This window comes from Homo sapiens, chromosome 7, assembly GCF_000001405.40.
Source record: "Homo sapiens chromosome 7, GRCh38.p14 Primary Assembly".
NCBI lineage: Eukaryota > Metazoa > Chordata > Mammalia > Primates > Hominidae > Homo > Homo sapiens.
In genome coordinates this window covers 99,036,559-99,063,572 of record NC_000007.14, presented here as the reverse complement: position 1 = coordinate 99,063,572, position 27,014 = coordinate 99,036,559, and the positions used below count along the sequence as shown (strand labels likewise).

The window sequence follows — 27,014 nt, the reverse complement described above, 5'->3', positions numbered from 1 at the left end:
TATCCCTATAATCCCAGCACTTTGTGGGGCGAAGTTGGGAGGATTGCTTGAGGCCAGGAGCTTGGGACCAGCCTGGGCAACATAGTGAGAGCCTGTCTCTTTAAAAAAAGAAGTTAGTTGGGTGTGGTGGTGTGTGCCTGTAGTCCCAGCAACTCGAGAGGCTGAGGCTGGAGGATCCCTAGAGCCCAAGGGTTTGAGGCTACAGTGAGCTATGATTGTGCCACTGTACTCCAGCCTGGGGTGACGGAGTGAGACCCTGTCTCTTTTTATATATATATATATATATATATATATATATATATATATATATATATATATATATATATATATAAATAAATCTTATATATATATATATATCTTGACTATATAAATATATATATCTTGATAAAGCTATAGCTTATCACTTACGACATTATTCACTTAGTTTTATAAAACGAAGTGAAACTTGGCAGAACAATATCTATTATGTGAGCACATTTTTGTAAAATACAAGTGCTTAATAAAACATAATATTCTTAAAATTGAGGACAATTTGTGAAGCAGTACAAAAGACAAAAGCACCTCAGTGTCTCCCTGACACAGTCACTTGCGTTGTGTAGCAAGCAGGTCTGGTGACAAACTCTCTTAACAGTAATTGATACTACCTCATTACTCATTAATAAAATAATAAGAACCTTAATTGCATTCTTTCTATACATCAACACTGTGCTTAGTTCTTTTTTTTGGAGACAGAGTCTCGCTCTGTCACCCAGGCTGGAGTGCAGTGGTGAGATCTTGGCTCACTGCAACCTCTGCCTCCCGGGTTTAAGTGATTCTCCTGCCTCAGCTTCTGGAGTAGCTGGGATTAGAGGCATGCGCTACCACACACAGCTAATTTTTGTATTTTAGTAGAGATGGAGTTTCTCCATGTTGGCCAGGCTGGTCTTGAACTCCTGACCTCAGGTGATCTGCCCACCTCAGCCTCCCAAAGTACTGGGATTACAGGCGTGAGCCACCATGCCCAGCCTGTGCTAAGTTCTTAACGTGCATTTTATCATTTTTTGTTCACACTACCCTGATGATGGCCCCATATTTTTTTTTACCACCTTCCCCTTGCTTACTATTTTCCAACATATCAAAGTTTACATTTACAAAATTGTATTACTTATCAGAATAAAAAATTGCATAGCTTCTTCTGTCATTAGCGGTACCTGTAAGGATAAATACTTCAGGTCTTTATTTGAGTTGGTTTTTATGTGATCATATGCAGTATAAGAGAATATCGGTAGGCTGGGTGCAGTGGCCCTATCTCTACAAAAATAAGAACATTTAGCCAGGCATGGTGGCGTGTGCCTATAATCCTAGCTACTGGGAGGGCTGAGGCAAGAGGATTGCTTGAATCACCCAGGAGTTCGAGGCTGCAATGAGCTATGATCATGCCCCTGCACTCCAGCCTGGGCAAGAGAGCAAGACCTTATCTCTTAAAAAAAAAAAAAGTATATTGATCAACCCATCTGAATGTGTTTAAGATTTTTAGTTTAAAGCATTTTGTATTTGTTATAGCTGATCTTCAGTTTGAGGAGAAAACACTTTTTAGATGGTTGTCCATTTTTTGTTTCATATGATACTAGATTTGAAAGTCAAATCTTCGGCAAAGCTAATTTTTAGAGTCTTTTTGTTCGGGTGTAAATATAGATTAGCTATTATGGAAATCTCGTCTTTAATGCTAACCTGAGTAATTTTTCTTTGTTTTTAGTGTTATGTGCCAAGAACCTTGCAAAGAAAGACTTCTTCAGTAAGTAAACACTTATTTTTTTCCCTCTTATAATGTTATGCATGTATTTCTGAAATTTTAAACTTTAAAAAAAGATTGGGTATATTCTCTTCAAAGTTTTGCCCTTTACTTAATAGAAATCCATGGTTCTCCAAGCTTTATTTCCCGGTTGACTACAACATGGGTAGTTCCTTAGCTGAAATATACAGAACTTATAAATCATACCGCAAAACCTGTCTTTCGTTTCCTATTCTGGTCACACCCAATTTTTTCTGCCTCTCTACCTATTAGAATATTGCTTTCTGCTGGATGATGTATTCTCAGCTCTAATACAAATGAAATACTTTTGTATAAAACAGCTGGATTTGCATACAATTGTTAATCAGATTTTATAAATTAAATCACATTTACAACACCCTATAATTAAAGGAATTGCAAAAATAAGAGACTCCTTTTCTAAAGGAAGGAATCACTCCTTAAGAAAGTCATGCAGTATCTGGTCAGTGCCTGCAGCATTAAATTCTTCACACACTTTCTGATCCTCACAAGACATCTTTCAGTTCTTAAGTGGTATTATTCATGCTTTCAAGATGAAGAAACTTAGGCTCAAAGGCTTTCTCCAGGTAGCCAGGAAGCTCCAGCATGGTGGCTCGTGTCCATCTCTATCTCTGACAACTGTCCACTTTGCCACCTGTCTGATCTAATAAACCTCTCTGATTCATTCTCTAGCATTTAGGGACTTACCGAATTAAGGCCTGGTGAATACTTGCTTCCATAGATAAGATAGGCAAAGATCAGTAAACAAATTTCGGGGCATTATTAATTTTTAGAAAGTCTAAATACAATTACTTTCAGACACTTTTCCCTCCACTTAATTAGCCCCACTTTAATAGAAATTTGAATGTAAGCCTTTTTTTTTTTCAGTCACTTTCTTTTCTACCCTCTAAAAATCTGAGTATGGAGGCATACTAGGCTCTCTTAGAAAGCTCAATAGACATAACTTATTTTGCTGATTGAAATTATCCTGAAATTAGAGAACACGAATTGTGTGTTCTGTGTCACATGGATGGATGTGAGGTCTCATCTAGGTGTGGGTCTCCTCTCTCCTCTAGGGCTCCCTGACCCTTTTGCAAAGATTGTCGTGGATGGGTCTGGGCAGTGCCACTCAACCGACACTGTGAAAAACACATTGGACCCAAAGTGGAACCAGCACTATGATCTGTGAGTTGAATGTTCTGTAAGCCCCATGCGGAGCGGCAGGAAAGCAGGTGTCTACCTTTTACGAGAAACATCCAAGAGAAAAAAAAAAAAAGGATGACTTTTTATTGATAACAAAAGCGGATGGCCAAATGAATGTCTACATTGCCTAATTTTAGAATTCATGTACTTGGAAGTTCTTGCATTTTGTTACTTTCTTTTTTCTTTTTTTTTTTTTTTTTTTGAGACGGAGTCTCACTCTGTCACCCAGGCTGGAGTGCGGTGGCGTGATCTCAGCTCACTGCAACCTCCGCCTCCCGGGTACAAGTGATTCTCCTACCTCAGCCTCCCAAGTAGCTGGGATTATGGACATATGCCACCATGCCCAGCTAATTTTTGTATTTTTTAGTAGAGATGGGGTTTCACCATGTTGGCCAGGCTGGTCTTGAACTCCTGACCTCAAGTGATCTGCCCACCTTAGCCTCCCAAAGTGTTGGGATTACAGGCGTGAGCCACTGCGCCCGACTGCATTTGGCATGTTCATAGATTTTTATGGTTTGGTTTTGTACATGTGATCCTCAAACTTTTCAATCTCCTGGCCATTTTAGCAGAAAAAAAGGCCATAGTTTGTGAACTCCACATGCTACTGTTTTTCAGCAAAACCCTAAACCTAGTTGTAGTTTCTACCTAAAAAATGCATTTTTTTTTTTTTTGAGATGGAGTCTTGCTTTGTCGCCCAGGCTAGAGTGTGCAGTGGCGCGATCTCGGCTCACTGTGACCTCCACCTCCTGGATTCAAGTGATTCTCCTGCCTCAGCCTCCCAAGTAGCTGGAATTACAGGCATCCGCCAGCATGCCCAACTAATTTTTGTATTTTTAGTTGAGACGGGGTTTCACCATCTTGGCCAGGCTGGTCTCGAACTCCTGACCTCATGATCCACCCGCCTCAGCCTCCCAAAGTTCTGGGATTACAGGCGTGAGCCACTGTACCAGGCCTAAAAAATTCATTATTATGACTGTATGTTTCTGTTGACTTTGAAAATTTTTGCTTTTTAGTACATATATATTTTCTGCAAGAGAAAATATAGTTTTATATGATCAAAGCCATCAATTTCTTATAGTCATTCAAAAACTGGATTGTACTTTGAAGACCACTATTTTATTTTATTTTATTTTATTTTATTTTATTTTATTTTATTTTATTTTATTTTATTTTATTTTTTTTTGAGATGGAGTCTTGCTCTGTCGCCCAGGCTGGAGTGCAGTGGCGGGATCTCGGCTCACTGCAAGCTCCGCCTCCCGGGTTCACGCCATTCTCCTGCCTCAGCCTCCCAAGTAGCTAGGACTACAGGCGCCCGCCACTACGCCCGGCTATTTTTTGTAGTTTTAGTAGAGACGGGGTTTCACCGTTTTAGCCGGGATGGTCTCGATCTCCTGACCTCGTGATCCGCCCGCCTCGGCCTCCCAAAGTGCTGGGATTACAGGCGTGAGCCACCGCGCCCGGCCTATTTTATTTTTAAATTAAATTAAATTTTTTTTTCAAACAGAGTCTCGCTCTGTTGCCCAGGCTGGAGCGCAGTGGCGCAATCTTGGCTCACCGCAACCTCCTCCTGCTGGGTTCAAGCGATTCTCGATCTTCAGCCTCCCGAGTAGCTGGGATTACAGGTACCCGCCACCATGCCTGGCTAATTTTTATATTTTTAGTAGAGATGGGTTTCACCATGTTGGCCAGGCTGGTCTTGACCTTCTGACCTCAGGTGATCCACCTTGGCCTCCTGAAGTGCTGGGATTATAGGCGTGAGCCACTGCACCTGGCTGTGAAGACCACTATTTTATATGCACCCATGTTTTCATGTTCCTACTAAGATATTTTCATCAAAGTAATCCTGAAAGATTATTGTCTTTTAGTTAATACAAATTATACTGTATTTGGGTGGGATTTTTAAGAATTATATTCTAAGATTCAGTTTCAGTGACACTGAGGCTGTGTAAGTGGGTTGAGTTCCTCTCTCCGTTGACTTGCAGTGACAGTAAATGGAGGTTTAATGTCTTAGTGTCCTCTTGTGTACTTTGAATAGATCCGTAGGTTTGTAAGTAGTCCCTTGTCGCAAACCAGTATTCTGTATCAAACCTAATTGGTGAGAATTTATGAATCATGTTACTGTCCTATGCGACTATTAAAATATAGTAAATTTGCTGGGTGCAGTGGCTCACACCTGTAATCTAAGCACTTTGGGAGGCCGAGGCAGGAAGATCACCTGAGGTCAGGAGGTTGAGACCAGCCTGGCCAACATGGTGAAACCCCGTCTCTACTAAAAATACAAAAATTAGCCAGGTGTGGTGGCAGGTGCCTGTAATCTCAGCTGCTGGGGAGGCTGAGGCAGGAGAATTCCTTGAACCCAGGAGACAGGTTGCAGTGAGCTAACACTGCGCCATTGCACTCCGGCCTGGGCGACAAGAGCAAAATTCCGTCTCAAAAAAATAAAAAAATAAATAAAAATAAATAAAATATAGTAAGTCTGTTATAAGATTATTATCATCGTGTGGTTATCTACATTTGCCCCTTCCATAAGGAGCAAGGTAGTTCTTCTTCCCAGCTTGTTGAAATTAATGGATACGTATTTATTAAATGCCTGTTACATGTGTAATACAGAGGCAACATTATTTTATAAGGTTTCTTAAAGAGAAAATCTCAATGAGATATCATAATTCAGAAATACAATTAAAAGCTGGGCATAGTAGCTCATGCCTGTAATCCCAGCACTTTGGGAGGCCAAGGCAGGTGGATCACCTGAGGTTAGGAGTTCAAGACCAACCTGGCCACATGGCGAAACCCCATCTCTACTAAAAATACAAAAATTAGCCAGGCATGGTGATGCACGCCTGTAGTCCCAGCTACTCGGGAGGCTGAGGCAGGAGAATCACTTGAACTTGGGAGTTGCAGTGAGCTGAGATCACACAACTGCACTCCAGCCTGGGGGCAACAGAGCAGGATTCTATCTCAAAAAAAAAAAAAAACAAAACAAAAAAAACCAAACACAATTAAAAATGAGTTTTGCACTTTCTTTCCAGATATGTTGGGAAAACGGATTCGATAACCATTAGCGTGTGGAACCATAAGAAAATTCACAAGAAACAGGGAGCTGGCTTCCTGGGCTGTGTGCGGCTGCTCTCCAATGCCATCAGCAGATTAAAAGATACCGGATGTAAGAACCAAACACTTTCCTGCCTCTTAATGCAACCAAAGAAAGCTTAGGAGGCATCGTTTTTTGTTTTGATCGCTGAATACTGAATTCCTGCCTTCCTCCCTAGTTCACGTTCCTTGGGTTAAGTTTTGAATTGTTTGTTTACAGACCAGCGTTTGGATCTATGCAAACTAAACCCCTCAGATACTGATGCAGTTCGTGGCCAGATAGTGGGTAAGAACTTTCTTGTCTGTGTAAAGAGATGCTTTTCCAGAACTTACATTCAACCCTTCATCGCCGAGAACTCACATACAGGCACTGACGATGCTGACGGGCCTCAGAGGACAGACCACGTACGGGGCCTTCTCTTCAGTACTAGGAAGTTTTGTCTTGTGTAGTTTTTATTATTTTATCTAATTCCCTTCTCCTGGCTTTTTTTTTTTTTTGGTTTTTTTTTTTTTGAGATGGAGTGCAGTGGTGAGATCTCAGCTCACCTCAACCTCCGCCTCCCAGGTTCCAGCGATTCTCCTGCCTCAGCCTCCCGAGTACTTGGGACCACAGGTGTGTGCCACCACGCCTGGCTAATTTTTGTATTTTTAGTAGAGGCGGAGTTTCACCATGTTGGCCAGGCTGGTCTCGATTTCCTGACCTCGAGTGATCTGCCCGCCTTGGCCTCCCAAAGTGCTGGGCTTACAGGCGTGAGCCACCATGCCCGGCCCCCTTCTCTTGGCTTTTAAAGTTGAGTAAAAATGACTCGGGTACAGAAAGATTTAGGGTTAGAATTTTAAATGTAATTTTAATCATCACATTTATGGACAATACATTTTTGACCGTATTATCCAAGGGTAGATAATAAGAATGGTGGCCACACATACAGGAGTTGGGAAATAGTTTCTTCTGGAAGCCCCATCATATATGTAAAAAGCATAGAGTTGTGAAGAATTCCATGTAATATGATTTGTACAGTCAGGGGACTGCATTATTTAGAATGAAAAATTAAAGTGTGCTAATGTTACAAAGTGTTGGCTAGAGGCAGTCTGTTGGAAGTGATTTAGCTGTTAAATAACTCATCCTATTATCCACCCACTTGTATTAGTGTTTTAGGGTAACTCAGATATTGACTTGGAAGCACTGCTGCATGGAATAAAAAAAAAAAGGTCTCTCTGCAGCACACTGGAGTGATTCTCACTCCAAATCTTTTAGGTATTGTCCTGTGTAGACCTGACCCAAGATAAATGAATAGTGCAGACATACACCCTGAAATCTACCATCATGAAAAAGTTCTCACCGAATGCTTTCCTGCGTGTAATTTCTTTTTTCTTTGTGGCGGGATGTGCCAGGGAGAAAAATGAGTAACTGAAAACAACTTTATAAAAGTCTTGTTCATAGTAAAGATAGAGAATAAATATTTAGATTCACTTAGACTTTGCAGATACTGAAAGTACTCTCTGTGTCTTTATTCATTTTTTTTTTGACACGGAGTCTTGCTCTGTCGCCCAGGCTGGAGTGCAGTGGCATGATCTTAGCTCACTGCAACCTCCGCCTCCCGCGTTTAAGCGATTCTCCTGCCTCAGCCTCCTGAGTAGCTGGAGTTACAGCTGCTTGCCACCACGCCTGGGTAATTTTTTGTATTTGTAGTGGAGACGGGGTTTTGCCATGTTGGCCAGACTGGTCTGGAACTCCCAGCCTCAGGTGATCCGCCCGCCTTAGCCTCCCAGAGTGCTGGTATTACAGGTGTGAGCCACTGTGCCCGGCCTCTCTGTGTCTTTATTAAACTTAAGTCAGAATGTTCTTAAGAAATAAAAACTGGGCTCAGTGGCACATGCCTGTAGTCTAGCTACTCTGAGGCTGAGGTGGGAGGATTGCTCAAGCCCAGGAGTTTGAGGCCAGCCTGGGCAACACAGTGAGACTTAATCCCCCCCAAAAAAACTTCTTATTTTTATTATTTTTTTTAATTTTTAATTTTTTTTGGAGACAGAGTCTCACTCTGTCACCCCTGCTGCAGTTCAGTGGCGCGATCTTAGCTCACTGTAACCTCCGCCTCCTGGGTTCAAGCAATTCTCCTGCCTCAGCCTCCCAAGTAGCTGGGACTACAAGTGTGTGCCACCATGCCTGGCTCATTTTTGTATTTTTAGTAGAGATGGGGTTTTGCCATGTTGCCCAGGCTGGTCTCAAACTCCTGAGCTCAGGCGATCCTCCCTTCTTGGCCTCCCAAAGTGCTGGGATTACAGGCATGAGCCACCGTGCCTGGCCCAAAAAAAGTCTTCTTAAAAAATAAATCTTCTTGAAAATAACTTAGAGGGACTGAATATTACATTGTTATTTTTATGGAGACCAGGAGAAACATAGCACCCTTTTCTTCACCACATTTACAAGGAATATTCCAAGTAGCATGCAGCTACTGGAGTAAAATGCTTCGTATTGGAAAGCATAGGAATATATGTGTGTATGCATACACATATGCCTCGTTTTTTATGATATTGTACATAAATTCTAAATTAGCAATGACTCACTGTATTATAATTATGTAAACCCCGCTGGGTTTTAACACAAGTCGTTCTTTTCTCTTTTAGTCAGTTTACAGACACGAGACAGAATAGGAACCGGCGGCTCGGTGGTGGACTGCAGAGGACTGTTAGAAAATGAAGGGTACGTATAACCACAGCAAGAGGCGGGCTGAGTTCTCTGCTGCCTTAACCTCTCGGCCTATAGGAAAGCGCCCTTCCCTCCTTAAGTCACTCTGCAGAATGCTTGAGATGCATAAAGGATGTTGGGATAAAACTGTGAACCAGTTTACTTGGCTATAAAGGAAGCTGTAAATACAACTGGAGTTGGCTGGGCGTGGTGGCTCACGCTTATAATCCCAGCAGTTTGGGAGGCCGAGGCAGGTGGATCACGAGGTCAGGAGATTGAGACCATCCTGGCTAATACGGTGAAACCCCATCTCTACTAAATATGCAAAAAATTAGCCAGGCGTGGTGGTGGGCGCCTGTAGTCCCAGCTACTGGGGAGACTGAGGCAGGAGAATTGCTTGAACCCGGGAGGAGGGGGTTGCAGTGAGCCAAGATCATGCCACTGCACTCCAGCCTGGGTGACAGAGCAAGACTCTGTCTCAAAAACAAACAAACAAACAACTGGGGTTGTGCCTGACTCAAAATCCAGTGAAAGAGGCTCCCACGGGCCAAAGATGGGTGAGTTTGAGCATCAATAAGAATTATAACTGCCTGTAATCCCAGCACTTTGGGAGGCCAAGGTGGCCAGAGACTTTGGTCTCGAGTTTGAGACCAGCCAGGGCAACATAGCGAGACTTTGTCTCTACCAAAAAATAAAAAATAACAAATTAGCTGGGCATGGTGGCACGCACCTATAATCCCAGCTGCTAGGGAAGCTGAGGTGGGAGGATTGCTTTGAGTCCAGGAGTTTGAAGTTGCAGTGAACCCTGATCACACCACTGCGCTCCACCTTGGGCGACACAGCAAGACCCTGGCTCAAAGAAAAGAAAAGAATTATAACTGCCATGAATTTGGAACATATCAGATATATTAAAAATCTTTGGGTTCATAATGACGGGGGGAGGAACTCAACACACTAAAAAAATACAACAAACTGCCGAACCGTCATTGGTCACTGTCACAATTTTGCAGTCCCCCATGAATTAATGGACCTGGCCAACAAGCAGTAATTGCTAACAACATCACAAAAGAGAGATGATCCAACATTAACACACCTCTTGGAAATACAGGGAACCAGGAATGTGTCTCACGGCCCCAAGGGAATATAATCAACAAACATCCAGAATGGGGCCTTCTGTAGGACAGACAACCCAGGGTCTTCAACAAATAGACTGCAAGAAAAGCAAAGACAGGAGGGAAGGAGAACCTGTCAACAATTCATATTCAAACAAACTTGAGACATAGCTACACATGCAAGGTGTGGACTTTGGATCCTGATTTATGAGACAATTGGAGAAATCTGAACACCGGTATTTGATTTTTTTAAAAAATTAATGAACATTTTTTAGTCATGATAATGGAAATATTTAAGGATGAAGTCATAAAATGTTGGGGTTGGTGGGGAGGGATTGGAAGAGTGGACATTGGATGATGGTTAGCTGGGAGGGGTGGACACAGGGGGTTCATTGTACTGGTCTCTCATTTTTTATACATATTTGAAATTTTTCAATCTAAGATTTTAAAAGAGTATTTGCTTCTAAGGGACAGTAGCCTATTAAGGTGAATTGTCTTCAAAATTGCTCAGGGGGTGAAGATTGATGTTTAAAAAGTATCTAAAGGCATTTTGGCATTTTATGTAACCAGGAGTTTCATTATAGAGTAAAATAACAAGGAAAATGGAGTATTTGGATATGATTTTATTTTATTTTAAAGATGGAGTCTCGCTCTGTCACCCAGGCTGGAGTACAATGGCACAATCTTGGCTCACTGCAACCTCTGCCTCCTGGGTTCAAGCAATTCTCAGCCTCCCGAGTAGCTGGGACCACAGGCGTGTGCCACCACACCCAGCTAATTTTTGTATTTTTAGTAGAGATGCGGTTTCATCATGTTGGCCAGGCTGGTCTTGAACTCCTGACCTCAAGTGATCTGCCCACTTCGGCGTCCCAAAGTTGGGATTACAGGCGTGAGCCACCGCATCTGGCCTGGATTTGATTTTAAATCAAGAAAAATGAGATCTCATTTCACAAACTCCTCATAGTCTAAGGCTGGTTTCTTCTAATCATTTCAGTCTACCCTATGGTGAAATTGTACAGTTGGCCTTGGGGACACTCCGGCCACCTGTTCCTCTTAGAAGAGTCTGTCTTTCTGTTTGAGTGGCACATGGTGAATTTTACAAAACTAGGCCCTTGGAACACTGGACGTTGTTAAAGGAAAGCAAATCAATTTATGTGACGGTGTCCCCTAGGACACTAGCCCTAAGGCGCTGGTCTTGTGACTCCTCCATGGTGACACCATGCCTGCCTGCTCTCGTCCCTTTCAGAACGGTGTATGAAGACTCCGGGCCTGGGAGGCCGCTCAGCTGCTTCATGGAGGAACCAGCCCCTTACACAGATAGCACCGGTGCTGCTGCTGGAGGAGGGAATTGCAGGTTCGTGGAGTCCCCAAGTCAAGATCAAAGACTTCAGGCACAGCGGCTTCGAAACCCTGATGTGCGAGGTTCACTACAGACGCCCCAGAACCGACCACACGGCCACCAGTCCCCGGAACTGCCCGAAGGCTACGGTGAGAGAATGTATCCTGCTGTGGCCAATGCCATCTGCCCTGTTTCCATGAGTTGACTTTTTTTTTTTTTTTGAGACAAGGTCTTGCTGTCACCCATGCTGGAGTGCAGTGGCATGATCATGGCTCACGGCAGCCTTGACCTCCCTAGCTCAAGCGATCCTCGCGAGTAGCTGGGCTTATAGGCATACACCATCATGCCTGGCTAATTTTTGTATTTTTTGTAGAGAATGGGTCTCGCCATGTTGCCCAGGCTGGTCTCAAACTCCTGGGCTCAAGTGATCCACCTGCCTCAGCCGCCCAAGTGCTGGGATTACAGGTGTGAGCCACTGCATCTGGCCTTTAACCCTTTTTGAGTAGCCTGTGCCATAAGTGCGGATGTTTGCGTGGCTATGCCATTTGATAATTGTGGCAGTGTAAAGACAACTGGAAGACAATGGTCCTAAATCTAGCTAATCATGAATTTTCAGCAATTGCTCCAAATCTCCCAGTTTAGAAATCAAGTGAAAATCTTAGGCAAACGAACACCAAAGCAAACCAAGGTAACATGTAGGCTAGATGAGGGTGTCTGTAGTGCTCTGGAAAGGAGAGCATGGGGCGAGATGGAGAAGAGGGGATTATTCGGCCACCTCAGAGAGAAGAACTGGGATAAGAGGGGAGTGTTATCTAGATTTAGATAATACCAGACGTGAGGGCATCGAGGGTTGGTTACAAACTCTCCCTGGAATTGAACTTGTCTCATTTGGATCTCTAATTTCTTGTGTAGAACAAAGAACAACAGTCCAGGGCCAAGTTTACTTTTTGCATACACAGACTGGAGTTAGCACGTGGCACGACCCCAGGATACCAAGGTAAGCCTCCTGAAATGGACACCCCCCAGCTGTCTTTCCAGCAGTTGACTTGAAAAGCCAATACCTTCCAGATGTGTTGCTCTTGTTTTAAACTAAAAATAGTGATGAATGAGATGATATTGATGTCTGGGATTTCCTTCAGATAAGCTGGGGTGGGGGGAGTAGACAGGGGTACATTTGAAACGTGAGTCATTGTTGACCTTTGAAACAAGGTTGACCATGATCATTGTTGAAGTTGGTTACACAGCAATTCCTTATGATCACTAACTTTTTTATATGCTTAAAATTTTCCATCATAAGTCAAGGAAATATAAAGACTCTGTTACCCTTTCTCTCTTCTACTTTACTGTCCCCATTGCCTCAGTCCCTCGGGGACCATTCCTGGGGGAGATGCAGCTTTTCTATACGAATTCCTTCTACAAGGCCATACATCTGAGCCCAGGTTAGAGAGACCCCCCCCCCACCCCATAACAGAGTTAAGTTTCTTTTTTTCTTTTGCTTTTTATTTCCTTTTAGAATAGCATTACTACCTAATATGATTTTTGGTAATATTTAGTTCCTTTTTATTCATGATTTGTTTCATCTGAGAATAAACTTCCTGTCTGATTTTCCAAGACTATGTTTAATGTATGACTCAGTACCTATAATGAGACTGGAAATATATTACCTGCAAATGAATGAGGTGTCTCTTTTGTACCCCCTGTTAGAAATGACAGGCTTTTGTGTTAATTAGAAACACATCTTGGTCAGTAAAGCTGTGCTCCCTTCTGACTGTAGATTGTGTTGAAATTATTAATCAGGAGAATAATTAATCATTCTTAGAGTGGAAAATACTTGTTGAGCAAAAAGCCCATTTGAAAATGAGAATGCCTCGTCCTGCTGCAACTGTTTAGAATTGCGAGTTTCTGAACGCATGTTCCTGTACCTCCCTTAGCCCTGAAAAGCTTGGTGCTGTCTGGGAACTTTCCAATGAAGAAACCCTTCTGGCCGGGAACATTTAATGACACTTGTGAATTCAGATAGTTTTCTGACAGCACTAAGATACTTCCTACTATTAGGGCCTTCTTTCATATAAGAAATGATATGCCGTGGGGAGCCCCTGTTCCTTATCATGGTTATAAGCTCTGAAACTGCCTATTTTTTTTTTTGGAGATGGAATTTCACTCTTGTTGCCCAGGCTGGAGTGCAATGGCGTGATCTCGGCTCACTGCAACCTCCGCCTCCCAGGTTCAAGCAATTCTCCTGTCTCAGCCTCCCAAGTAGCTGAGATTACAGGCACCCACCACCACACCCAACTAATTTTTGTATTATTAGTAGAGACAGGGTTTCATCATGTTGGCCAGGCTGGTCTCGAATTCCTGACCTCAGGTGATTCACTTGCCTCCCAGAGTGCTGGGATTACAGGCGTGAGCTACCGCGCCCAGCCTGAAAGTTTGGTTTTAAATCTCTCGGATGTTGCTGCTGTTTGCAGCAGAGAGGCCTGGACTGAGTAGAGGTTTGGCGTAAGTAGCACCACGAAGGTCCATCTTAGCAGAGCTGGGACACAGACACCTTGATAAGGAACCTCTGTGGCTTCTGTTGCTGACTTTTGGTCTCATTCCTCCATACTCAGTTGGACAAACCTCTCTGTATCTTCCATTTTGGTAGAGACCTTAACAGTGTGAACTGTGATGAACTTGGACCACTGCCGCCAGGCTGGGAAGTCAGAAGTACAGTTTCTGGGAGGATATATTTTGTAGATCATAATAACCGAACAACCCAGTTTACAGACCCAAGGTTACACCACATCATGAAGTAAGACTTTAAAAATATTTTTTGCTGACCTCTTTCATTGGTAATCGAATGCTTTCTTGGACTGGTATTTTTGTGAATTTATTGACTGTCTTGCTGGTTGGATAATAAGCATGGTCAAAATGATGTTAAATATCTGGCGGATAATTGCATATTTTAAACTCTTAAATTAGCTGTGAAGAGCACTGAAGCCCTATGTTGTTGCTACCCTTTTCTTACTTGCAGCCTACATAAAATTTACCGAGATGGCAGTATTAGGCGGCTGCACGAAGGAAGTTTCCGCACGCAGCGCTCTCATGAGACACGTGGCCCTTAGGTTGAGAAGTAGAGATACGTGCTATCCCCCTAGTGCCTGCACGGTGGGGAACTGGATACCTTGGAACTGGGAATTATCTTGGATCCCATATTTAGTGTTCCAGGCCTGTCGTGTTCTCAGAGCCAAACATTCCACATAGCTCTTTTTTTTTTTTTTTTTGAGACAGAGTCCAGCTCTGTCACCCAGGCTGGAGTGCAGTGGCACAATCTCTGCTCACTGCACCCTCCACCTCCTGGGTTCAAGTGATTCTCCTGCCTCAGCCTCCTGAGTAGCTGGGATTACAGGCGCCCGCCACCATGCCCAGCTAATTATTGTATTTTTAGTAGAGATGGGATTTTGCCATGTTGGCCAGGCTGGTCCCAAATTCCTGACTGCGGGTGATCCGCCTGCCTTGGCCTCCCGAAGTGCTGGGATTATAGGCATGAGCCACTGCGCCTGCCCCCGACATAGCTCTTTTAACCGACAGCTCTGTGTCTCAGTGGCAAAACTTGAACAGGACAAATGCCACTTTGTCACCGTACTAATCCTACTCCTTTTACTGAAATTTTGCTCTCAATGAGCAGGTGTAGAAATCTCTTGGCGGTAAAAATGAGGGATGGTTTTCATTAGATTTCACTCGAGCGGTCTGCTGTTGTGCCTATCATGAGATTTCATTTGAGTTCTCCACTGTTACCTCCTTTAAAATTTTTTCCCATCATCTCCATTTCATTCTAACTGCCAAGGTGCATCTGATGATGCTTTGGTTCATCTCATGGGTGCGTAATAGATGCATAATAAATGACAGCCATTTCCATTTTTATTTGTGGTGGTAATGTGTGAGATAAGTGTTTGCTTGGAATTGTGGTACCTCCTTTTTTTTGAGAGAGAGAGTCTGGCTCTGTCACCCAGGCTGGAGGGCAGTGGCGCAATCTCAGCTCACTGCAACCTCTGCCTCCCGGGTTCAAGCGATTTCCCTGTCTCAGCCTCCTGAGTAGCTGGGATTATAAGTGCCCACCACCACACCTGGCTAATTTTTTGTATTTTTAGTAGAGACCGGGTTTCACCATGTTGTCCAGGCTGGTCTCGAACTCCTGACCTCAGGTGATCCACCCACCTCAGCCTCCCAAAGTGCTGGGATTACAGGCTTGAGCCACCACGCCCGGCCTGGGGTACCTCCTTTATGGTACTGTAGACATACATTTAGGCTAATGTGGCCATCAGCAAGTTTGACACAGCTAGCTAGGTACCTGGTTACGTCATCAGGGAAACAAATTCTCCCTGAAGTTGTGTGCAGCTAGCTCTCTCCTCTGACCCTGTCGCGTACGTGGGTGCTTGCAGCTCCCCTGGCCGGGGCTTCGGAGTGACTTTCTGCATCTCTTCTTCTCAAGTCACCAGTGCCAACTCAAGGAGCCCAGCCAGCCGCTGCCACTGCCCAGTGAGGGCTCTCTGGAGGACGAGGAGCTTCCTGCCCAGAGATACGAAAGAGATCTAGTCCAGAAGCTGAAAGTCCTCAGACACGAACTGTCGCTTCAGCAGCCCCAAGCTGGTCATTGCCGCATCGAAGTGTCCAGAGAAGAAATCTTTGAGGTAGAGAGTTCAGGGCCACTGCCCAGACCCTGTTCAGAAACAAATAAGGCAATTCAGACAAAGGAATCTCAAATGCGATTGTTTTCAAGGGCTGCTTTAAATGAACTGCTTTGTGGGTGATGTCTGCGTTTCAGGGAACCCTTCTTTCTGTTTGGTATTTGAGGTATTGATTTTATTACTAAGGGAAGTGCAGAGTTTGTCAGGACCACAGCCTGTCTAGAGGGAGGGAATGGTATTCATTTCCTCTTATGGTAAAAATGGAAAAACTAAATAGTTTCACCTCTAGGTGAAAACCTAGAGGTGTATACAGAAACTAGCACTAAAAAATAGTGGGAACCGCCTTGTCTACATGATGTGGGTTAAATATTCCTGCAATCTGCAATCTGCGCTTTCCCCAGAGCCAGGTAGTCTCCCTCCTCTCTTCTTGTATGAGATGTCATCTGAGGGCTCTCCTTCTCAGGGCAGCTCAGGGGCTGGGGGCCATCCTGCTTCTCCTGTGGAAATTGGCGAGGAGCAGGTGGCTCTTGGGACAGGCTCTGTCCCTTACACAGCTTCCTGCAGGAGCAGGTCCCTAAACAGACCAGGCCCTTTTCCCAAGAAAGCTGACCATACAGGAAAATCTCCATGGCATTTGGGCCATTTCCTGCCCTCCTTTGTGGAGACACTGTCAGAAATGATCAAAGGAGACTGAGCACAGATTCTCCCTGGGTGACAGCACTAAGGGAGCACTGGGGGGCCGAGGGAGCTGAGCGCCTTCCCCACCGCGAGGGCTGGGCCTGAGTGTTGGATGGGCAGCTTGGCCACAGCGCCCAGCCCTGCCTGCTGCATGTATGCCCTTGTTGCAGGGCTAGAAAAGCGCTGAAGTACTGACTTCACTACCAGCTCGTTTCCTCTTTCCCTCTTGGGTTGCCAGAGTTTATTTGTTTGGGTTTTTTTTTTTTTTTTTTTTTTTGAGACGGAGTCTTGCACTGTTGCCCAGGCTGGAGTGCAGCGGCATGATCTCGGCTCACTGCAACCTCTGACTCCCAGGTTCAAGCGATTCTCCTGTCTCAGCCTCCCGTGTAGCTGGGATTACAGGCGCCCGCCACCAGGCCCAGCTAATTTTTTGTATTTTTAGTAGAGATGGGGGGGTTTCACCATGTTGGCCAGGCTGGTCTTGAACTTCTGACCTCAAGTGATCCGCTCACTTTGGCCTCCCAAAGTACTGGGATTACAGGCGGAGCCACCGCGCCCGGCTGGGTTGCTGGAGTTTGAATTGCGTTAAATTTAAAGCACGAAAAATTTCTTAAGTGCCTCGTTACTGAATCTACATCTATAAACACGTAGCGGCTTCTGCTTCAAGTGCTGAGTGTGAGGGAATAGCAGGCTGATCACATGTGTTCTGTGCTGTGCTTAAGCCACCTTATGTCTTACTTAAAATCTTTTTGCCTTTTGACTCAGTGGGAAATCAAATGTGATTTTTCACTTTAGATATAAAGAGAGGCTCAGAACTCTCTTAGCATTCAGACTTTCTAATGTCTTGATTTTGGTTGCGATGCACAAGTTGTTTATAGTGTGCATTGAAATTAATTTATACAGAGAAGAATCAACCCTAGTGAGTTTTGTCCTTAAGTCCTTGGTGATTCACTGAAAACAGACACGTGTTTCCCTGAAGGTTAGTGTTTCCTGGCATCGTGTTTGTTTTGTTGTTGTCTCAGAGGGAGAAACTGAGAAAAAAGATGATGGAATATACTAGATGCCGAAGAAACATTCTGATGAGGAGCCAGATAAAACTTGAATTGGAATGGATGCGTGTTCTTAACCGGGCTCCATTATCAATGACCTTTCATAACTTTAAGAATAAGAATGTTCTTCTCTCTGAAACTGTGATGTTGCTCTTCAGGAGTCTTACCGCCAGATAATGAAGATGCGACCGAAAGACTTGAAAAAACGGCTGATGGTGAAATTCCGTGGGGAAGAAGGTTTGGATTACGGTGGTGTGGCCAGGTGAGCTGCTTGTTCATTCACCTTCTCTGCTGTGTGGATCTCAGTCTTTTCAAGAGAAGTCATTTGCCCTTCTCCAGTGCTCATCACCAAGCACTCCTGGGCAGGGCTGATGTCTCCTTGGAGCAGTCGGGCCATCATGCACTGGCTTCAGCCACCCTGCGGAGAATAGGAATTCCTCCGAGCATGCTCGTGCCAGCCTCTTGCCATAACCTACCAGAATATCCGTGATTGTCACCACTAATTGACTTCTTGTAAAGCTAGAATTAAACTTTTAAATTCACTCCCTTCTTTTGAAACATGAGGAGCATGCTCCTGAAATTTAACACAGGAGGCAGCCTTGCTCTCCTCTGTAGAGGATTTGCTGCAGGGAGCAGGGCAGGGATTGCATTTGTGCATGTAAATTGCATTTGTGTCAAAGGAATTTTGTAAAATGTTAAAATTTTGGTCAAAATAATTCAAGAAAATGATATTAAAAAACAGAATAGAATGATGAAAAACTGCTATTTCATGTCCTGCTTCTTTTCAGCTTCAAGACAATTTTTTTTTTTTGGTCTTTTTTGAGACGGGGTCTTGCTCTGTTGCCCAGGCTGGAGTGCAGTGGCACAATCATAGCTCACTGCAGCCTCAACCTCCTGGGCTCAAGCGATCCTCCTACCTCAGCCTCCCAAGTAGCTGGAACTACAGGTGTGTGCCACCAGGCCTGGCTAATTTTTAAAAAGTTTTTTGTAGAGATGAGGTCTTACTATGTTGCCCAGGCTGGTCTCAAACTCCTGGGCTCAAGCCACTCTCCCATCTTGGCCTCCCAAAGTGCTGAGATTGCAGGTGTGAACCGCTGTGCTTGGCTAAGACAACTGCTTCTTAACTCTTTTAGCTCTTTTCTTTGAATAGGTATCTTGTTATTTCCGGATTTAATGATTTATGGGCATATACATAAGATAGACTGACTCTAGTTACTCTCATGTTCAATTTAGTAATATGGATCTTTTTAGTTCTTCCATCATTTGTAACTTTATGTCCTGTGCTTTCACCTTTATTTTTTTGATGTATCAACTAGAGACATGATCTCTGGACCTCTCATTTGCATAAGAACAGGATATTCATACTTACAACTTTCTCTTCAGCATTCCTTCTGCCTCTTAAATTCTGTCATCTGTAATATTACTTTTATGTTGTCAAGGTTAAGATTTACATTCTCTTCTGTAACCAAAATTTGGTCAGTCTCCTATGCTTGTCTACCAATTATTTGTAAAGGGATGAAAGTTTATACGGTTTACATTATTATGAATGAAAATATTGTCCATTAAGGGTTTAAATAGTATTCTAGAATTTAACTTTTTGGAACAAATTCTAATTTTTCCAAGAATTTCTTCTTCCCTTTTTTTTCTGGAGACAGCATCTCACTCTATGGCCCAGGCTGGAGTCCACTGGCTGGATCTCGGCTCACTGCTACCTCCACCTCCCAGGTTCAAGTGATTCTCATGCCTCAGCCCCCTGAGTAGCTGGGATTACAGGTGCGAGTCACCATGTCCAGCTAATTTTTATATTTTTAGTAGAGATGGGGTTTCACCATGGTGGCCAGGTGGGTGTTGAACTACTGACCTCAGGTGATCCTCCCGCCTTGGCTTCCCTCCCCAGTAGCTTTCACTGTCTCTACTGCCCCTTGAACTTCAAGTCCTCCAGGATGGTTACACATCATACCTTCTGACAGCCCCCGTGTCTCCTGCAAGGCCTCTGTGCAGCCTGATGGCGATTCTCTTGCTCCTCTGTGCCGTGGTTGTCCTGAGACTTCACTGCTTCCCTGGGTGAGGTCCATTGTCCTGGGCGTCCCATAGCTTCCCCTTTCTTGGCGTCCTCCCTTGTCATGCTGTGACCACCGCATGGTTGTGTGGTGTGATGTTTCTCTTTCTCATCTGCATCTTCCAAGAGAGTCAAACTACATGCAGTCAGGAACTTGTCTTGTTCACAGCTGATCCCCGGTTCCTAGAACAGCACCTAACACACAGCGGAACACTTGTCTCTGTAAATATGTGCCAAATGAATGAATTTTACTTTTTGTTAATTTCTTCGCACATTTTCTTTCTTTGGTCATTCTGAAATGCCTGTTACTCAGCTGTCGGACTCCCTGGTTTGGTCTGGTAGGAGTTACATTCCTTCTGCGTTTTCCGTAGTCATCCAGTCTTCTGCGTGGAGATGGGTCGTTGTGAATTTCCCTTGACTGACATGATGCTGTAGTGGAAAGAGTTGGGAATCTCTGCTCTGCCACCTCCAGTTTGGTCTTGTAGTGTTATTTCACCACTGGAGTCTTCCTCCTAATGGGATGATACTTAGAGAACGGTGGAGAGATTTCAGTTGCATGTGTATTACACATGTGCAGGTGTGTGTTCATTATCCGATCTGTGGGAGTTAGGCTACACTTATCTCCCCAGTATTTAGTCCTGAAGTCCTTTCTGTAGCCTCTCTTTTTGGCCTGTTTAGTTATTGCTTCCCTTACCACTTCCAGAACAGAACTGATTGTATCTTTACGCTGTCCATGGCTCGGTCGGAATGTTTGCTTGTATTTTAATCACTTCCTGTCTAGACAACTGGAGGTCTTTGTCTTTTTCAAAAAAGGTTCTTCCTAAATTGAAACTCCAAAACTTGGGATGAATTCAAATTCAGCAATGTTGCCTTTGTAGTAAAAAGAGACTTTATAGGATTCGGAGTCTCATCTCTTCTGGCAGTTCCTTTCTGTTCTTTTGAGTACAATGAAGAACTGTTTTTGTTTGATATTTTTTGTGTATTCTCACGATTTTCTTGGACAGATTATCTGCATTTGTGTCTGTCCTTCCCTATTCGCTCTCATTTCTGTTTGAAAAAGTAAGAAATTCCAGAATAAAATTTGGAGCTGCTATCTTAATGCGATCCGTTGAAAAGGAGTTTTGAGCAGAATGAATAGAAGACTCTTCGTAGATCTGCCACAGGTGTTTGTCTAAGGGCTGGGCTTAATGCAACCTGAGTGTAGCCACTGAACCATACAATTTCTATTTAAAGTGCCTTTTTTTTGGCTTGACTGTTTTTAACTTTGGGGTTTTTAAAATAATAAAATGATGCAAACATTAAAGAAATTCAGAAAATAACAACTTAGGCTGAGCGTGGTGGCTCACGCCTGTAATCCTGGCACTTTGGGAGGCCGAGATGGGTGGATCATTTGAGGTCAGGAGTTCGAGGCCACCCTGGCCAACATGGTGAAACCCTGTCTCTACTAAAAAATCCAGAAAATAGCCGGGCCTGGTGGCGCATGCCTGTAGTGCCAGCTACTCGGGAGGCAGGAAAATCACTTGGACCAGGAAGGCAGAGGTTGCAGTGAGCCAAGATCATGCCACTGCACTCCAGCCTGGGCGACAGAGTGAGACTCCATCTCAGGGAAAAAAAAAAAATGTAGAAATTTTAGCGCGTCTCAAATGCATTTTTGTTGTTTGCTCCCAGGGAGTGGCTTTACTTGCTGTGCCATGAAATGCTGAATCCTTATTACGGGCTCTTCCAGTATTCTACGGACAATATTTACATGTTGCAAATAAATCCGGATTCTTCAATCAACCCCGTAAGTATGAATGAACAAAGAGGTAGGGAATTGAGTTGGAGAAGTTTTGAGATGGATTTTCAGTTTCATTCTCAGTCCTTGGTCTATTTGTTGTAGACTTAATCAAAGACAGTGGTAAGCAAAACATGGAGAGGTAAAGTGAAAACTGAATTAAGATGGATGATTCCAATCCTGTATTTTCAGAGATCGTGATCACTGGGTGTGCTGTGTTGAAGGAGATGAAGGGTGAAACTGAGCTGTTCATACACTCACACTTTGTGATCATTTGAGGGAACTCTGGTGTGATGATCGTATGTGTTAATGGTGTCATTCTAAGGAGTAGGTTCCGAAGTCCAGCCTCCTCCCGGTCAAAACTGGAATCTTTCCAGAACTAGCTTTTTAAGCCACAAATGCTGCCACCCTTAGCGTGCTGGTTTTAGAGATGAAGAAGTCAGTGCAGTGTTTGCACGCCCAGCTCAAGGGTGGGCAGCCGGCCAGCAGGGGACTCCTCCTGTGGCACCACGGCCTTCACCAGCGTCCTGCACAGGCCACTGAGGCGAAGTCGGGACAGGCTCCGCTTGTGCATTCAAATGTGGAAGAACCTTTTACCAACATGGAAGCAGAGTTTTGATTCATTTTTTGAGGTGAACATAATTCAAACCTGAAAGTAGAGACGTGTGGTTCCTGAGTTAAGACCAGAACGGCTCTGGTTCTAGAATGGTTCTTTTCTTTTTTTTGAGAGAGAGTCTCGCTGTGTCCCCCAGGCTGGAGTGCAGTGGCATGATCTCTGCTCACTGCAACCTCTGCCTCCCAGGTTCAAGCGATTCTCCTGCCTCAGCCTCCCGAGTAGCTGGGATCACAGACCCCTGCCACCAGGCCCAGCTAGTTTTTGTATTTTTAGTAGAGATGGGGTTTTGCCATGTTGGCCAGGCTGGTCTCGAACTCCTGACCTCAGGTGATCTGCCTGCCTCAGCCTCCCAAAGTGTTGAGATTACAGGCGTGAGCAACCATGCCCGGCCTAGGATTGTTATTTGATTTGGCTTACTCATACATATTTTCCTGTGGTCTTTTTCTCCCCCTTAGCATTTCTTCCCTCCCTCCCTCTCTTTCCCTCTCTTCCTTTCGTTCTGGATCGAGGGAGTGGTGGTGGAGGAGGAAGGGAACTTGCCCTTTTCTTTCCTGTGCAGTGGGAGGAAGCACAGGGCTGGCTTCCTGGGTGCGCGTCCAGCATGGTGCCGAGGCCCTGCAGTGTCAAGGCCCTGGGCTTGGTTCGATTCTCTGTTGTCACGAAGGTGAAATTCTCAGTCATTGCTGAACACGGGGCTCCTCTGCCAGTTATATGGCCCTTCTGAGGAGGTGTTGGCCCTGAGAGCATACAAAACGCTGTCCAGCGAATCTAGGCAAATTTCTGCTACACAAGCAGCCTTCTTTCACTTGTTCAGGAGCGGGGCCTGTGAGTCCCTGAGTCAGTAGGTCTGGTTGCCTCTGGGACACTTTTCCCAAGAAGCTTGGGGACAGCACGAGATTCCCACATTGGCCGGCACCATGCTGACAAATTCGTGTTCTCTGGTGCCCCCTACAGGACCACTTGTCTTATTTCCACTTTGTGGGGCGGATCATGGGGCTGGCTGTGTTCCATGGACACTACATCAACGGGGGCTTCACAGTGCCCTTCTACAAGCAGCTGCTGGGGAAGCCCATCCAGCTCTCAGATCTGGAATCTGTGGACCCAGAGCTGCATAAGAGCTTGGTGTGGATCCTGTAAGTATTGACTGACGGCCGGTCACCTGGCTTAGGGCCCACCACCACGTCTATCGTATGTATGCGCGTGCGCGCGCGCGCGCGTGTGTGTGTATTTTGGGGATGTGTGTGAAGCCATTGTATTATAACCTGAAACAAAAAAAGGGGATTTTTTGGAAGGCGGAGGCGGGCAGATCAATTCAGTCCAGGAGTTCGACACCAGCCTGGGCAACACAGTGAGACCCCGTTACTGCAAAAAAATACAAAAAAACCCACCAGATCTAGCAAAAAGTACTCAGTTGACTTATTTTCCTCATGATGTTGGGCAGGTTTCTCTTCATGGACTAGTTTCTTTTGTTTCCTTGAATGAAGAAGGCGCGATCACAGACGTTAACAGGCCACTCCCCAGGCCCGTTGTGGGGTGTGTGTGAGACACTCAGGGCATCTCCAGTTAACCTACACAGGGGCCAAGCAAGTATCAAAACAAAATTAACATTTAGTTACCTCTGCTTTAGAATTATTCTAAACACTCTGTTAAGAGCAGCAGGCAGTGACAAGATGAACCGTGACTATCACGGGTCCTTGCAGATTTCACGGGGACAAAACATCAGGCTCTGACAGATGGAGGGAATGTGGGTGAGTCGGAGTCGGGGCTCCTGGTTGTGTCCCATGTGTCACATGTTCCAACTTGAACAGGGGACTCTGGGGATCAGGTAGAAAATCTTCCACTCAGCTGGGTGCGGTGGCTCATGCCTATTATCCCAGCACTTTGTGGGGCCGAGGTGGGTGGATCACTTGCTCTTTTCACTTGAGGTCAAAGGTTGGAGTTTGAGACCAACCTGGCCAACATGGTGAAATCCCGTCCCTACTAAAATTAAAAAAATTTTAAAAAGCCAGGTGTGGCACATGCCTGTAATCCCAGCTACTCAGGAGGCTGAGGCAGGAAAATTGCTTCAACCCAGGAGGCAGAGGTTGCAGTGAGCTGAGACCACACCACTGCACTCCAGCCTGGATGACAGAGTGAGTCTCTGTCTCAAAAAAAAAGAAAGAAAAAGAAAATCTTCCACTCTGCCTAGGCTCAAGAACGATGGCAGATTCAAGAGCTAGTTTTCACTTTCGAGTACTTTTGTGTTTGAACTGATGCCTTTGGGAAGGCTGCCTCTAAGGGAGGAACAGTATTTTTTTTTTTTTTTTTTTTTTTTTTTGAGACAGAGTCTTGCTCTGTCACCCAGGCTCGAGTGCAGTGGCTCAATTATCGGCTCAACGCAACCTCCACCTCCCAGGTTCAAGCAATTCTCCTGCCTCAGCTTCCTGAGTAGCTGGGACTACAGGCGCCTGCCACCACACCTGGCTAATTTTTTGTGTTTTTAGTAGAGATGGGGTTTCACCATGTTGGCCAGGCTGGTCTCAATCTCCTGACCTCGTAATCCACCCGCCTCGGTATCCCAAAGTGCTGGGATTACAGGTGTAAGCCGCTGTACCTGGCCAGGCACAGTATTTTCTTGGCATGGCTTCATCTCCAGGTCAATTTCCCTTTGACCCTGGTACCTCTTCACGTTCCTGCCTTTTGACTCCCACACTGCTTACAAAGCAGCTGGGTTGTGGGTCCCCTGAAATCACAGGATGGTACAGCAACCTGCTGCCCGCCTTCTATGACTGTGGAAGCCAGGAGCCGGGACATCTGGAAACAGAGCTGTGGTCTCAGGGTCCTCCAGCACCTGTTGCTGTGCCACCCCCACGCAGGTTCTGTGTCTGCCCGAGGCTGTCCTGTCTTGCAGCCCCGGGTTTGGCAGTCGTAAATGTTTTCTGTCTACCCAATGGCCCCGCGTGGTGGCAGAGTTCTAACCTACATCCTTCTGTCTTATTTCAACAGAGAGAACGACATCACGCCTGTACTGGACCACACCTTCTGCGTGGAACACAACGCCTTCGGGCGGATCCTGCAGCATGAACTGAAACCCAATGGCAGAAATGTGCCAGTCACAGAGGAGAATAAGAAAGAATACGTCCGGTAATGCCACCTGTCGGGGACGGCCAGGTGCCTGGGGCGCGGCTGAGCCTGCATTTAGTTGCTGTAGCTCCTTCGCTGTGTGAGGCCTGCATGTCCCTGATGGCTGGTGCTTATGATCAGATCACATGAACAGAGGCGACTTTCAGAAACCGACAGCTCAGCAGCAGCGTCAGGGATCTGCTTGGAGGGGCCCTGATGGGGCCAGGCCTGGCCTGAGGGACAGAGCCCATGTGGGGAAGGACTTTTCAGTGACCACCTAATTCTGGGTGCAAAGGTGGGGGGCAAAGGAGAGAGCAGCAGCTTGGAGGGTCTCTCGTGCTCAGTCCGAGGAAGCCACCCTCTCAGTTTTTTTCCACCCCTAACTTGAGGCAGATCTGTGTTCAGGCCTAGGCACTTGCGGCCTAGGCACTTGCAGCTGAGAACTATGTGGGCACGTCTGTGTGCCACGCTGTCCTGTGCTGTACTTTCAAATGTACTTTTACACATTTAAACAATTTTTAAATTTTTACATGGTCTTGCTATGTTGCCAGGCTGGTCTCGAACCCCTGGCCTCAAGCAATCCTCTTGCTTCCGCCTCCCAAGGGGCTGGCATTGCAGGCGTGAGCCGCCATGCCTGGCCAGAACATGCTTTCACATTGCAGCAATTGATGTGACAGATCAGGTTCAATCCTCCTGTTTTCGCGAGCAAATCGGAATGAATCAGGGCACGTGCTGAGTCATTTTTAACGTGATGCCAAGGTTTGGTACTACTAGCTGGTGGTGTGTTTGTCTGTCTTGGAGAGATCCGGGGAGTGGGGGGCTCAGTGTGTTCCCATGTTTGTCAGACTGTGATATCAGAACCTGCTCACAGGTCGGGCGCAGTGGCTCATGCCTGTAATCCCAACACTTTGGGAGACCGAGGCGGGCGGATCACCTGAGGTCAGGAGCTCGAGACCAGCCATGGCCAACATGGTGAAACCCCATCTCCACTAAAAATACAAAAATTAGCCAGGTGTGGTGGTGGGTGCCTGTAATCCTAGCTACTGGGGAGGGTGAGGCAGAAGAATTGCTTGAACCCAGGAGGCTGAGGTTGCAGTGAGCCGAGATTGAGCCATTGCACTCCAGCCTGGGTGACAGAGTGAGACCCTGTCTCCAAAAAAAACCTGCCCATGGCGGAAAATCCACTTGGTGTTGCATCCAACTTGCGAGTTTTTCTTCCAGGTTGTATGTAAACTGGAGGTTTATGAGAGGAATCGAAGCCCAGTTCTTAGCTCTGCAGAAGGGGTTCAATGAGCTCATCCCTCAACATCTGCTGAAGCCTTTTGACCAGAAGGAACTGGAGGTATGTGCCTGCTGTGCGGAGTCGACCCAGGGCGTCCCTGTGGCTGGCGTCTGCCTGTTTTAAATCCTTGCTGCAGGGGGCAGTGTGTGCCGCTTTCTAGTAAGCCTAGGAGCTGCTGGGGTTCCCAGACTAGAGCCAGGGCTGGAGCAAGAGTGGGGAGTAGAGGGTGTTCATGCCAGTTAGTAACCGGCGAGATGTCTGCTTGGCGGTAGGAAATCTGACTAACTCCCGGGAAACTGTTCAAGGTGGCTGTGGCTTCCCTTGTTTGCAAGATCTCTAGCAGGGGAGATTGCATAGCCCTCTCCTGTCTTGGGAGAACCAGGTTCTCCCACAAGAGCATCTTACTGCTTTTTATTCTGGCTCTTCCTAGCCTAGGAACAAGGGGCTACTGTCTTCTCTAGTCATACTGCATGCACTTGAACACGGTGATTCATTCAGCCCTTATCCATCTCTGGTGCCAAATAGCTCAAGCCGTGTAGATTGTTCTCCAAGTCTTTCTGCTGCCAGT

General features: G+C 45.4%; 1 protein-coding gene across 7 annotated transcripts in view, besides 1 other annotated feature; it reads left to right on the top strand.

The window, feature by feature from the left end:
* SMURF1 (SMAD specific E3 ubiquitin protein ligase 1) overlaps window positions 1-27,014 on the top strand; it is a 116,669-nt gene that overhangs the window by 80,536 nt on the left and 9,119 nt on the right. For 5 of the 7 annotated variants that reach the window (XM_017012457.2, NM_020429.3, XM_047420637.1 and 2 more), the window contains 15 exons: window positions 1,736-1,774; window positions 2,866-2,974; window positions 6,022-6,155; window positions 6,303-6,368; window positions 8,708-8,783; window positions 11,127-11,368; window positions 12,132-12,216; window positions 12,581-12,658; window positions 13,864-14,010; window positions 15,691-15,889; window positions 17,772-17,875; window positions 21,341-21,455; window positions 23,017-23,195; window positions 25,048-25,185; window positions 26,386-26,506. In XM_017012457.2, the coding sequence (XP_016867946.1) occupies window positions 1,736-1,774; window positions 2,866-2,974; window positions 6,022-6,155; window positions 6,303-6,368; window positions 8,708-8,783; window positions 11,127-11,368; window positions 12,132-12,216; window positions 12,581-12,658; window positions 13,864-14,010; window positions 15,691-15,889; window positions 17,772-17,875; window positions 21,341-21,455; window positions 23,017-23,195; window positions 25,048-25,185; window positions 26,386-26,506 (1,832 nt within the window). The remainder of the gene's footprint in view (window positions 1-1,735; window positions 1,775-2,865; window positions 2,975-6,021; window positions 6,156-6,302; window positions 6,369-8,707; window positions 8,784-11,126; window positions 11,369-12,131; window positions 12,217-12,580; window positions 12,659-13,863; window positions 14,011-15,690; window positions 15,890-17,771; window positions 17,876-21,340; window positions 21,456-23,016; window positions 23,196-25,047; window positions 25,186-26,385; window positions 26,507-27,014) is intronic. The other 2 variants (NM_001199847.2, NM_181349.3) reach the window with 1 other exon arrangement.
* Window positions 7,693-7,987: a silencer, noted in NCBI's record as "tiled region #1794; K562 Repressive non-DNase unmatched - State 16:ElonW". NCBI's record gives its function as "represses a minimal TATA promoter and a strong SV40 promoter by Sharpr-MPRA in K562 cells {active_cell/tissue: K562}" and the evidence as "EXISTENCE:reporter gene assay evidence [ECO:0000049][PMID:27701403]".